The 14,008-nt window shown below is 34.3% G+C and overlaps 1 long non-coding RNA gene across 1 annotated transcript in view; it reads right to left on the reverse strand.

Moving 5' to 3' along the window:
* Positions 1–3,123: 3,123 nt before the first annotated feature.
* The window catches only part of LOC105370217 (uncharacterized), a 62,771-nt gene continuing 51,886 nt past the window's right edge, over positions 3,124–14,008 (reverse strand). Inside the window, exon 3 of the long non-coding RNA XR_941983.1 lies at positions 3,124–3,453. This is a non-coding gene — a long non-coding RNA (uncharacterized LOC105370217). The remainder of the gene's footprint in view (positions 3,454–14,008) is intronic.

The following is a 14,008-nucleotide window of genomic DNA, read 5'->3' on the forward strand; positions in this document are numbered from 1 at the left end:
TTTCCTAAGTTTTCCAAAATCCTTAACACTTTTCCTGATGACTAATATATAAAACAAGATCTGGCCAGCTGCGGTGGCTCATGCCTGTAATCCCAGCACTTTGGGAGGCTGAGGTGGGCGGGCGGATCATGAGGTCAGGAGTTCGAGATCAGCCTTGACAGCATGGTGAAACCCTGTCTCTACTAAAACTACAAAAATTAGCTGGGCGTGGTGGCACATGCCTGTAATCCCAGCTACTTGGGAGCCTGAGGCAGGAGAATCTCCTGAACTCAAAAAGTGAAGGTTGCAGTGAGCTGAGATCATGCCATTGCACTCCAGCCTGGGTGAGAGTGAGACTCTTGTCTCAAAAAAAAAAAAAAAATGTACAAGGCAAGTAAGAAGTTATAAACTATAATCATTTCCTAATTAAGGGGCAGGTATACCTATGACTCTGCATGAGGATAAAAGTGGTTGAATATAGTAGTTTGTTGTTGTTGTTGTTGTTTTCTGAAACTTTCTCCTCTATCACCAACATCAGGAAGATGCCTTAGAGTTTCCTCACCCCCAAAATACTTTGTTATTTTCTGCCATGGCCTCCATAGTTAATGTAGCATAACAAAGAGCATATTATGCTATTGTAAAACACAATAATGATGAAAATATCCCAAATGTGTGTAAATGGTTAACTTAAAATTATTGATTTAGAATCATCTAATTTTAATACAGGGAGAAAAAGGAAAAAGAAACATGAACATTTTGGAAAGAGATGTACAAAAACAGAAGTTAGCCAGGAAAAAAAAGGGATAAATTTTGCTTCGTTAATTATTTAGTCCAGAGGCTAGCCTTACTGCCAGCATATTATTTTCAAAGCAATTGCAACCCAAAATTATTAGTGAGGTTTTAAGAACATAGTTTAGACTAAAAATTTTTTCTATACAATTCTGTGATTTGGAGTTGAATGTAGCACATTTTTTTGAAAGATTATTTTACTGGTAAAATTGTGTGTGCCAGGTCTAATACAAGGACAGCAAGTGATATTGTTCAAAGTTTTGCTCTGCTTTACTAACTTTAGGGGACATAAAATGAGTATATCTAGTTTCTTCTTTTGAAGAAGAAAAGGGATTAGAACAGTTATTTCATGGAAACCTCGACTTATAGAAGCATTACACTCCGTTTCAATGGGATCCTGCTGATCCGATTAAGAAGTGAAGTTACACAGGTGCATTATCTAGTTCACTTTGAAAGAAAAAGCAACAGACTTGATCAAAACAAGTCTCCCCATGGCTGCATTGTCAGACAGGACCACTGTCAGGATACTAACAGAAATGTGAATGAGAATTGCTGTTTCTCACGATTGTTAATTGAGTATCTAATAATGGATATCAGATGTTCTTTCCATTTTCTTCCTAGTCTAACTCTGTAAGATTCAATGAAAGGATCAGTAATTTTTAATACAAAGATATCTGGCTTCCTGCTACCACCTACCTAAGTTAATTCTGCATGTATTTTATACATTCATGGAGAAGTATTGAGTGTTTTCTTCCCAAAGGTACATTATACAAACAATTCAAAAGTATGATTTAAATAATGTCTTTATTTTACCCTGAAATAAATTCAATACTCTTCAAGTTGTTACTGAATAACTCAAGATTATGAACATTTTTTCAATAAAGAGAAAATCAGATTATATAAACAAAGCTTGCTAAGGAAATGTTAATCACATTCATATTTGTTTATTCAACTATTTTTTTTTAGTACCTACTATGTGGCCAGTCCATGTTCTGAGTGATTGGCATATAGCAATAGATAAAGGAGAACAAAAATTTCCTGCACTTGCTGTGGTCATGTTTTAGTAATGGTAAAAAAACAACAGACAAATACATAAGTAAAATCTGTGTGAGAGTGTGTGTGTATCTGTGTGTGTGTGTGAGAGGGAGAGAGAGAAAAATAGGGAGAAAGAGAGAGCGAGAGAGGTGGCGTTTGGTTTTAGGAGGAAATAGCACAAAGGAGTAATAGAGTATAAAATAGGGAGTGTCATTTTTATATATGATGATAATAAAAGGCTTCATTTATATAGCATTTGATTAACAACCTGAAAGACATGGGGGAGATGTCCATACTGGTTTTTGTGAGATGAGTGTTTCAGACACAGGCAGCAGCAAGTGTCAAAGCACATAGACATGGTCTGTAGCAAATGGTTGAGGCAATCACAGTCAATGAGTTCAGAGAGGTAACAGAGAAACAGATTGTATAGGGCTTTGTGGAGCATAGTGAGGATGTTAGCTTCCCTTTGAGTAAGATGGGAAGTTACTGTGGGATTTAAAGCAGCATTGTGGAAAATTTCTCATTCTGGGCCCTATGTCAAGAATAGCCTTTTGGAAAACAAGGTTGTAACCTGGCAGTCCAGTTGCAGCTATAACAAGCCTCTAAATGAGAGATAATTATGGTTTGAACAGGGCGGATGAAATAAGTGACCATATTTTTAGCATATAAAAATAGGATTTGATGTTAGATTAGGTTTGGTGTAAGAGAAAGAAATGTGTGAATGCTGACTCCAAGGTTTTTTATCTTGGTATCTGAAAAATGGGAATTGCATTTCCCGAAATAAAAACTGTAGGAAAAACAAGTTTTGCCTGGAAATTGGGAGTCTAGTTAGGAAAGCATTAAGTTGATTTGCCTGTAGCTATCTAAATGGTAAACTTGAGTAGACCATTACTATGCAAGTGTGGAGTTCACAGATATATATGTGTATGTGTATACACACATATACACACATGTAAACTTGAACATGATTAATTTATGGATGGTATGTAATGCCATGGGAATGGATGAGATCACCAAAAGAGTGAGTGTGAAGAATAAAGCAGACAGGTTAGAGGAGTGAAAGTTGGGAGTTTGGCACTTCAATATTCAGTGGTTGAGAAGACAGGAGGATGGAATCAAGGAAAGAAACTTAGAAAAGTTAGTCAATGAAGAAGGAAGAAAACAACATTGTCTTAATTCTTTCAATTATATACATTATATATGTTCTATACTATATTATATTTTACTTATATAATTATATAATATTGTATTTATTGTACAATATCAAATATAATCTTTTATAATATATAAAGTTATATATTCAAATATAAGATTCTTTGCTGGACATTGTACACAAAAGAAACGTGAAAACTGAAGATGATGCCCTCCTCAGATGACCCTCCTCAGAGGATTTTCTTTCTTCCCTGTTAGATGACAGAGCAGCTATCACCTCAATCCAATCAGACATTGATCAAGATCAGGTCTAGGTTTCAGTTTTAGGTACATTTAGCCCACTTATCTTTTCTAATGTCTCCAGGACAAGATGTGTTTTTATGTTTGTTTTAGGTCCTGTCCTTCATGGAACTGTGTCTCCTAAACACCATCGGACTGGGAGAACTCAGTTTCATTGTCCAGCTGAATCCTCCAGCCTTCCATATCATCATCTCAGCACTTAGAAAAGAACAGAGAAAAAAAAAAAAAACAGCATAAACCTGAAATTCCTCTAGATTATAATCCAGCACATCAGCCCCTATAGCCATCACAAATTTATAGGATTTCTCCACCACAAACTATCTTTACCTAGACAAAGCCTGATGCTCAGCCTGCAACCCAATGACTCAAAGGACAGAAAATGTCTGACATTCTCAAGCTTACTTTTAAAAGGGCATTTTTCTCTCTATTTTCATTCATCTGGTATTCTTCACTTCCAGTGTTTTAAAACACACTAATTTTTAATTCATCTTTGGTTTTTCCTAGTTGTTGCTTTGGAAGTGATTTTCTTTTGCTGGCTACTAAACTCTACTTGTAAGTGGAAGTCTGATTATTTATTTTCTATGTTCACATTTTTGTGGTATCTGAGCATTTGAAAAAACTTAATTAAAAAAAAAGAACTTCATCACAAGTGGTGGGGCGGCTGTACAGGCAACATTGGACTGAAGAGCAAGGAGAAGGGATGAGGGAAGAGGATTCTAGCAATTGCTGGTGGTGTGACTTTAAGCAAGTTTTATATGTTCTCCAAGCATCATGCTCTTATTAACGACTCAATAAAGGTAGTTGTAATGGACATTTTTCCTACTCCTTACCTTAATTCCTTCATGATCTGATAAGAGCACTCTCATTTTCCTTGAGGAAAGAAACATTCTAACTCATTCTCAGGCCAGGTAGTTTGCGTGAAATGATCCCACCCTTGGCCTTGGGAAGTAGGCATGTGACCCAAAAACCTAATCGGAACATTTTATCCCCTATCCCTTAACCAGGGCAAGAAGCTGCTGCCGAGGACCCCATGTGACCTATTTCATAGCACTCTGCCAATTGCAATAAAAAGACATATTTTAGTTTATTGCTTGAGAGGACAGAGTGAAAACCTGGAGCTGTTAATAACTCACTGCAACATCCCCCCACCTGCATGATGGGGCACAGGGTAAAACAGAGCCAAGAAACTGAGACAGCCAAGTCCTGATGGCTTCAAATCAGCCACAGGATCCAGATAAGCCTGATCTAATGTGAATCTTCCAGTGTACTATTTCCTTACATCTGCATAGTGGGAATCCTTTGTTCCTTTTTTTTTTTTTTTAAATTATACTTTAAGTTCTAGGGTACATGTGCACAATGTGCAGGCTAGTTACATATGTATACATGTGCCATGTTGGTGTGCTACACCCATTAACTTATCATTTACATTAGGTATATATCCTAATGCTATCCCTCCCCACTACCCCCACCCCACAACAGGACCCAGTGTGTGATGTTCCATTCCTGTGTCCAAGTGTTCTCATTGTTCAATTCCCACCTATGAGTGAGAACATGCAGTGTTTGGTTTTTTGTCCTTGCGATAGTTTGCTGAGAATGATGGTTTCCAGCTTCATCCATGTCCCTACAAAGGACATGAACTCATCCTTTTTATGGCTGCATAGTATTCCACGGTGTATATGTGCCACATTTTCTTAATCCAGTCTATCATTGATGGACATTTGGGTTGGTTCCAAGTCTTTGCTATTGTGAATAGTGCCTCAGTAAACATACGTGTGCATGTGTGCCTTTATAACAGCGTGATTTATAATCCTTTGGGTATATACCCAGTAATGGGATGGCTGGGTCAAATGGTATTCCTAGTTCTAGATCCCTGAGGAATCGCCACACTGTCTTCCACAACGGTTGAACTAGTTTACAGTCCCACCAACAGTGTAAAAGTGTTCCTATTTCTCCACATCCTCTCCAGCACCTGTTGTTCCCTGAATATTAATGATCACCATTCTAACTGGTGTGAGATGGTATCTCATTGGGGTTTTGATTTGCATTTCTCTGATGGCCAGTGATGATGAGCATTTTTTCATGTGTCTGTTGGCTGCATAAATGTCTTCTTTTGAGAATTGTCTGATCATCTCCTTCGCCCACTTGTTGATGGGGTTGTTTGTTCTTTTCTTGTAAATTTGTTTGAGTTCTTTGTAAATTCTGGACATTAGCCCTTTGTCAGATGAGTAGATTGCAAAAATTTTCTCCCATTCTGTGGGTTGCCTGTTCACTCTGATGGTAGTTTCTTTTGCTGTGCAAAAGTTCTTTAGTTTAATTAGATCCCATTTGTCAATTTTGGCTTTTGTTGCCATTGCTTTTGGTGTTTTAGACATGAAGTCCTTGCCCATGCCTATGTCCTGAATGGTATTGCCTAAGTTTTCTTCCAGGGTTTTTATGGTTTTAGATCTAACATTTAAGTTTTTTATCAATCTTGAATTAATTTTTTCATAAGATGTAAAGAAGGGATCCAGTTTCAGCTTTCTACATATGGCTAGCCAGTTTTCCCAGCACCATTTGTTAAATAGGGAATCCTTTCCCTATTTCTTGTTTTTGTCAGGTTTGTCAAAGATCAGATGGTTGTAGATGTGTGGTATTATTTCTGAGGGCTCTGTTCTGTTCCATTGGTCTATATCTCTGTTTTGGTACCAGTACCATGCTGTTTTGATTACTGTATGCCTTGTAGTATAGTTTGAAGTCAGGTAGCGTGATGCCTCCAGTTTTGTTCTTAATACAAGATCTTAACAACAACAGTGACAAGGTAAACAGCTTCCTGTCAGTCATGAAAATGAAGGAATCAAACAAATGGAAGTATGGGAAAAGAATTCTTACAATTTCTACAAAGATCTCTGTATTCTCTTTAAGAAGATAACAATTTCTTTTTAAGTGATAATACTAAGACTCCTTTATCAAGTCCGCACTTTCTTTTGTAGTGTAAGCTGCACGTTCACCATCAGCATAAAGATGGAGTGGGAGGAAAAGGGAAAATTCCAAGATCGATCAAATAACTCATTTCCTATTTTGGTTGTGTACTACTAATCCTTGACTTATTAGTCACTAAATCTCTCTTTCACCCATGTTAGTAAGGCACTTGTTCTCAAAAAATGACTATCAATGATATTCATTCATGGCATTAATAACAATATTTGCAATGAGCTTTTACAGAGAAACATGCATAAATTGTAGTTTTTATTATTTTTGCATATTATGGAACACTATTACTATTAAAATAAAATATAGATTTCAAGTTCTTAAAATTTCTATTTGAAACATTAACAGTAAAGGCAGGTTAGATATAATTGGAAATGATTTTATCTGTTTTGTCTTGGCCCCAGAGGTCACATATTGGATCCAGGGATACAAATTGGAGAGAGGGGAAGATTTTGACTTAATGTTCTAACAATTACCACTCTCTGAATATGAAATAAGCCAAGATAAATAATTTCTAGGTTTTCTTTTGCCTTGGAGCCCTGAAATTCTTTAAGCCTGATTTGTATTGATAAAGGGTGGAAGTTATTTATAAAAATGAAAATGATTCCTTAGAAATATGAACTGTGCAGGAGAGAATTGATATTATAATTGATTAAACTGTGCCAGGCTTTAAATACCTTTTCTTATTGAGAAAAATATTGAAAATAATTGTTAATTCCACTTCTATTGGTGAAAACCTGAGGCTTCGAGAGGTAAGATAACTTGTCCAAGACCACTAGCTAATAAATCATAGACCAGGATTATATTCTCCAAATCCTGTCTTTCCATTACACAATAGTGTTTATTCTATATCACATATGAGACTTCTCAAAAGCTGCTAGTGTTGCCTTGGCTTAAGTAAATATTCAGACAGATGCTTGGAGAGTACAGGTTTGAAAAAATAATAAGAAAATTAGCAGAGGGATAAAATTTATAAACATTTGCAATAAACACAAAGGAAAAATATAAATAATTACTTTTATAAAGTTTATTTTATTTAAAGTACAATACATAGAAAAATATAATAATGTACACTCACAGTTCACCAGCAAAATCTAATGGAACTAGCCACCTTTCACTTGAGATAGTCCAGGGCTCAGGGAGCACGACATCACAAAGTGCTAACACAGAACTAATTAGTACTAGTAAATGCCATATTTAACATGTTGGTAACCTATAATGTATTTACAAATATTTTCAGATTCTTTAATAGTATTACCTGCTTCCGTATCAAAAAGCCTAGGTCAAGAATTGCACTAAAAGATTTCCAAGATCTTTTTGGTAAATATAATAACTCTTTTTATCATTTATAGGCTGTAAGACAAATTTCTGCCAAGGGTAGTTGCTTTAGTAATGTTGCTTGTATGTTCTGAACGGGGACATTTCCTGATTCATGGTTGAAAATTATAGATAGGAGTAGAATGTACTTCTTCCACAAAAGCAGATCTGATTATACCTAAGAGGTATGAAAGTACAGTGATTAAGAACTTGGGGTCTAGAAGCAGACTGCCTGAGTTCAAGAGCCCCTGTTTGTTATTAGTTGTGCAAAATCTATGAGTTCATTAATTATCTATGCCTCTGTGTCTCTTCTGTGAAAAGAGGATCCAAATATTGCATGTGTGTCTTAATGTAAAATTCTTAGAAAATTGCCTGGCACAAAATGAGCTCTATTTGATACCTATTAACCTTAATTATAATAGTCTCTTTTTTCTGAATAAAAACTATTGACCTATCTTTTCCAGTTGTTATTTTGGTTTCATTTGAAGGAAAATAATCAGAAATCTATTGTGCACAAATAACTTTTAATTTTAAGATTTTATCAACTTTTCAGAGTAGCAAAATACTTCAAAATAACTGTTATACTTGGTTCAGAAATAAACGTATTTTCCATGTATTTATTCAAGTAGGGCAATTGTATTCTAAATGTAATCTCTCTCTTTATAAAAAATTCCTTTAAATGAATAGTGAAGCAATAAGAGGCACCTACAAAGTTGTAAAAGAATCGACACTGCCTACAATTTATGAGAGATAGACATATGCAAATGAACTATTTATCAAGTTTATAATTCATATAGTTTCAGAAAACTACAAAGAAATACTATGCACCTATTTACGGAAAGTCCAAGGAGGAGAAAGGAGAAATTTACCTTAAGTATTTCTGCTACATATATGTAATCTCAATTTTGTAAATAAAATGCAAGTGGCACATAAGCAGTTGTAACTGCTGGTAGGACAAAGGCATTTGGTTTTGTCAATCTCTTTACAAATTGGAATCAATATATTTTTAAGTAACTGATACGCATCATGGCTCTATAGTTTTCCTGATAAATGGCACTACATTACTTAAACTTATAAATGTGTAGAAATATCTCCTGACATTAAAAAAAATTGTAGTGGTCACACAGTCATTTAGAAATGAAAACCAGATATGCTATAAAGCAATGTAAGTTCTGCAAAACAGGAAGAGTGAGAATTGGTAAGCTTACATTTTAAATATATTTTGTCTGTTTATGGATTCTGTGATTTAATGAATAATTTCTGCATGAATTAATCTACTATTATGAAGGAACTAAGCATTTCTACTAAGGCATAAAAACCAAAATTTAGGATAATATAGTCTAAAAATTTAGACAATGTAGTCAAAGAATAGTATGCCTTAATTAAGAAAGGTCACACTGTTTGACTGATGTGTCAAGTTCAAGATGGATGCACATGAAGTGGTCAGATCAAACAGGGAGATAGTAGCAGCCAGGTCATTTGGACCAGAGTCAGCTCCTGAGGCGATAACAGATGTTGAAGCCAGATTACCCTCCCAGGTAATCTGTCCTTCTTGCCTTATCTAGTTTGTGAACTCCAAGTTATTTTCAAATTTAAGCTGTGGTTTTAATATTTTGTGAATCTTTACTTGTCTGCCCCAGAGGGTAGGTTTTAGCTCCTGCTTCATGATCTCCTAGTACGCTGACCTTGCTACTATTATCACATTTTATTATGCCTTATAACCCTGAACTGTAATTTTTAATCACCATATAAATTTTATCCCTATTGTAAACCACTAGAATACTGGGATACTGTTTTATTCATTTTTAATTGACATAAATTAGCATAGTTTCTAATATATAATATGCATTCCATACATACTTTGTTGACTTCAATAAAAACTTTAAACTTAGTTTAAAATGTATAGCTCATGGTTTGTCTCTATCTTTGTGTTGAGAAAGACATGGATGTTGAAGCCTCTTCACATCCCTGTAGGCATTTTTCTTATCCTACTTATGTCCTTTGTCCTGTTCCTCTTGTTCACCGTGTTGTTCCCAGAGCTCTTTTTAGAATCCCAGCATTCATTAATCATTAATCATTTTTTGTACACATTATTATTCATTTCTAACAATTTTTCAAGATTTTTCTACAATCTCTCTTTCTGTGCTCTTATAAAGTACTTCTTATAGAACAAACAGATCAGAAGAGAAAGATGGTTTCCTCCTACAGGCAAAATAGTACATAACTCTGGTTATCTTGCTAGCACTTTAATGATTAATCATACTTTAAAATACCTTAACAAAAACTTTAAATGTACTTAAGTTTTAAAACACAGTAGGTAACTTTTAAAAAATGCTTTAAACTGTATAAAGAAGTGCCTTACTCCGCCTCTGTAGAAAGCACCAAACTTATATCGTCATTTTTGGATATAGTGATCATATGATAGAATAAAAAAACAAATTTTGTCCCTTCATTCTCACTTGTACACTTCTGTGTTCCATCATTAGGCCAAAATGAAGTCTACAAAAGGGTTTGGAATTCAGTCTTGCAATCTTGAATACCTAAATTCATTACTCTGTAAAAACAAATCTGTCTTTCAGAGGGTGACTCACATTAACCAAGCATACAAAATCTGATTGTTTATATCATATTAAAATGAATAAACTTACAAGAAAAAATAAACTATCATGTGGAGAAGAGTATCTATACTCACAGAACAAGCATGTTTATATTACTACAACATATTTAAAGTATTGAAAAGGAAATAAACATGTACCAGTGTAAACTATTCTAAGTCAGTATTTTCTCCCTTGTTTTTTACTAAAGCAGAAACTGCAATTTTAAGCATATCTTCAAACATAAATCTTCAAGAACAAGATGCTACAGTTAGCCAAACCCCTCACCTCAGTTTGGATTTTTGGTTTGTTAGTCTTCTACTGTGTTATTTGTTTAGTGTACTAGTACCTTCAATCAGATTACATCTCTTTTAGGGGATTTAGAATAGACTGTTTTGTTGCTTTTATATTCTTTCAGAATACGTTTTTCTATGTCACATTTCAATATTATTTGGAGTAGGGTAACATGTAATATTTTCCCATATTGCCACATAGAAGTTTCAATACTCAATGTGAAATGCATATCTTTACAAGTTAATGGGAATGTGAAAAGGAGGAAAGAAAACAAGAAAACAATTATTGCTTACTTGTTCCACACACTTTGAAAATATCACACAAATCTTCAAAGTAATCCTTTGAGATATATTTATTATCTCCCTTTTACAAATGAATGGAGTCTCATACATTTTGTATCACTTGCCCAGGTCACATGTTAAACCATGATATAATCCTAGATCTAACTCCAAAGAGACCTCTCCAGTATATACTATGTCCAATAAGCAGAGAAACTTAAATGTGAGCAATTCATTATAGTGACAAAAAAGAGTACTAAACCCAAAATATTAATCTTCTATGTATTTAATGATATGCATAATTGCTACGGTTTTGCTTGATAATTAAGATGTAAATACTAAACAGATGAGTAAATAGTTGTTAATTAATATTTAAAAGTCACGTATTTTTGAATCAGAACAAAGAAAAATGTCATAACAAGAAGGTATTTTAATGCCTTACTTAAGCTAACTTGAGTCCCTTTAATCCTCTACTGAAAACTTTCCTCTTATTAAATAACACTTATGTACAATATATAGCACTAGAGTGACCTCCAAATCCTTTCTTTATCTTAGAAAAGTAAAGTACACTGCTTCTGAAATACTTGACCTATATTGGCAAAAATCTAAAAGTGAGTGATGCGCATAGATAAATTAAATAGAAAAATAACCATTTTAGGTGGAAATGTTAAGGGAATAAATTATAGATTTGTCAGAATTTGAACTTATGCCTTATGAAAAACAGAAGATGAAAAGACCAAGACAAAAGAAAATCAGGTTCTTTTGGCAGATTAAATTGAATGTGCAAAAGGCAAATGTAGAAAAACATAAGGCTTTTTACAGGCAATTAAACTAGTTTGGATAGCATTAGTTTGCATAGAGATTTGTGGTATATAAAAAAAGAAGGAAAGGTTGGGCACAGACAAGAAATGCCTTAAAATGCATAAAATCTGTGCATATTTTTCAGAGTCCTTGTGATAGATAGAATCCTAAGATAACCCCCAAATCGCCTACACCTGGTATAATTTACCTTCTACTGGCTATTGAATCATACACTAATGTAGATGCTGCTGTGAAGGGATTTTTGCCAAGGCGATTAAGTTCTCAAGATAATTCACTTTAAAATCCTGGATGGATTTGACTTAGGTGAACTTTTAAGAGGAACTGGGACCTTCTAGAAGTTAGATTTGAAGCATAAGAGAGATTTGACATGACAAGCTCTCTCTTCTTGGCTGTGAAGATGAAGAGGGTCACATGGCAAGGAATGTGGAGCAGCCTCAAGGACCTTATAAGGCCCACAGCTGACATCCAGAAAGGAAACAGGCACCTCTGTCTACACAGCAAGGAAATTAAGTCTGCCACATTCACCTGAGTTTGGAAGACGACTTTGAGCTCCAGATGAGAACACAGCATTGACACCTTAATTTCAGCCTTGTAAGAAATTAAGCAGAAGAGTTAGTAGTCATGCCATGTCTGAATTTCTGAACTACAGAACTGACAGAGAATAAATAGGTACTGTTTTAAGCAGCTAAATTTGTAGTAATATGTTATGAAGCAATGTAAAACTAATACAGCCCAAGAGTAAAGCATCCTTGCCTCCAATTTTCCTTTTCTTTTTTTGTCTTATTACATAGAAGTAGTACTTGTATGTCATGTATCTTTATTTTTTTAAATGATTTGTTTGCAATTTAATACTTGATTCTTCTTAAAAAAGAGTTATTAATTAAATTAATAATTATTAATTGGAAATGCAAAGAAGCCATCCAAAGTAAGCTGCTTGCTATGAGAAATTTTGAAAGTTTAAAAAGGATAAAAGTTATTAGGCTAATAGCATGGAAAAGTTCTAAGTAGTCTGACAAAACAGTTTCTAAATTAAACAGTTTGATCAACAGCAACATAATAGATATTTGTTATTCACCATCTCTTTTAACACCCTATTTTAGAAGAAAGCAAGTACTAACATTTCTTTTTTTATATCCTCATCTGATCTTGTATTGTGCACATCTTAATTAAAATGAGCATTAGCCAGATAATGTACAAAAAAAAGATTAATACAATTCAAATTTGTATATGAGCTGATTCTTTAAAAATTGTAAGTATTTGAAAAATTTTTTCTCTTTAATACAAAAAACAGAAATAATCAATTTTACAATGATAATTTAAAGGGAGGATATTTACCACATACACACAGACATGAAAATAGTGCCTCAAATGAATGAACTAAAGAGATTGTTGAAAATGATTTAAGATATAAAACAAATAAATAAATATGCATACACACATATATTTACAGTCATCCCTCTGTATCTGTCGGGAATCGTTTCCAGGAACTTCTGCAGTTATCAAAATCCAAGAATGCTCAAGTTGCTAATATAAAATGGCATAGTATTTGCATATAACCTGTGCACATCTTCTTGTATACTTTAAATTATAATAGATTACTTATAATACCTAAAGCAGTGTAAATACTATTTAAATAGGTGTTACAGTGTATTGCTTAAGGAATGATAAGTTAAAAAAAAAGTCTGTATGTGTTCAGAACAGATGCAAATTTTTTCCAAATATTTTTGATCCATGGTTGGTTGAATCAACAAATGTGGAACCTGCAGATATGGAGGGCCAACTGTGTAAGTACACACACACACACACACACACACACACACACTCTTAAAGAATGGGGAAAAAGTAGCTGAATTGTAAACAAAATGTTATCTTAAATGCAGTAAAATTTAAATAATATAAAAATGTAAAACTGGACAGGCACGGTGGCTCACGCCTGTAATCCCAGGACTTTTACTAACATGGTAAAACCCCGTCTCTACTAAAAATACAAAAATTTAGCCGGGCATAGTGGCAGGCGCCTGTTGTCCCAGCTACTTGGGAGGGTGAGGCAGGAGTATGGCACGAACCCAGGAGGCAGAGCTTGCAGTGAGCCGAGATTGTGCCACCACACTCCAGCCTGGGCAACAGAGCGAGACTCTGTCTCAAAAAAAAAAAAAAAATGTAAAACTTACTACTTATTCTTTACTTCCCCTTTCATTTCATTAAAATAACAGTAATAACTATAGAAATATTTAACATTTTAGTTGGTGATAAGGGGAGACATTTAAAATGTAGCATTACTTTCTAAACCCCACTCTAAGATTTCTCATGTCGTTTCCAATTTTTATGCTGTAATAGTTTGTTTTCACAGTGCTATAAAAAACTTCCCTGATACTAGGTAATTTATGAAGGAAAGATGTTTAATTGACTCACAATTCCATATGGCTGGGGAGGCCTCAGGAAACTTACAATCATGGCGGAAGGGGAAGCAGGAACCTTCTT

Source organism: Homo sapiens, chromosome 13, assembly GCF_000001405.40.
Source record: "Homo sapiens chromosome 13, GRCh38.p14 Primary Assembly".
NCBI classification, from domain to species: domain Eukaryota; kingdom Metazoa; phylum Chordata; class Mammalia; order Primates; family Hominidae; genus Homo; species Homo sapiens.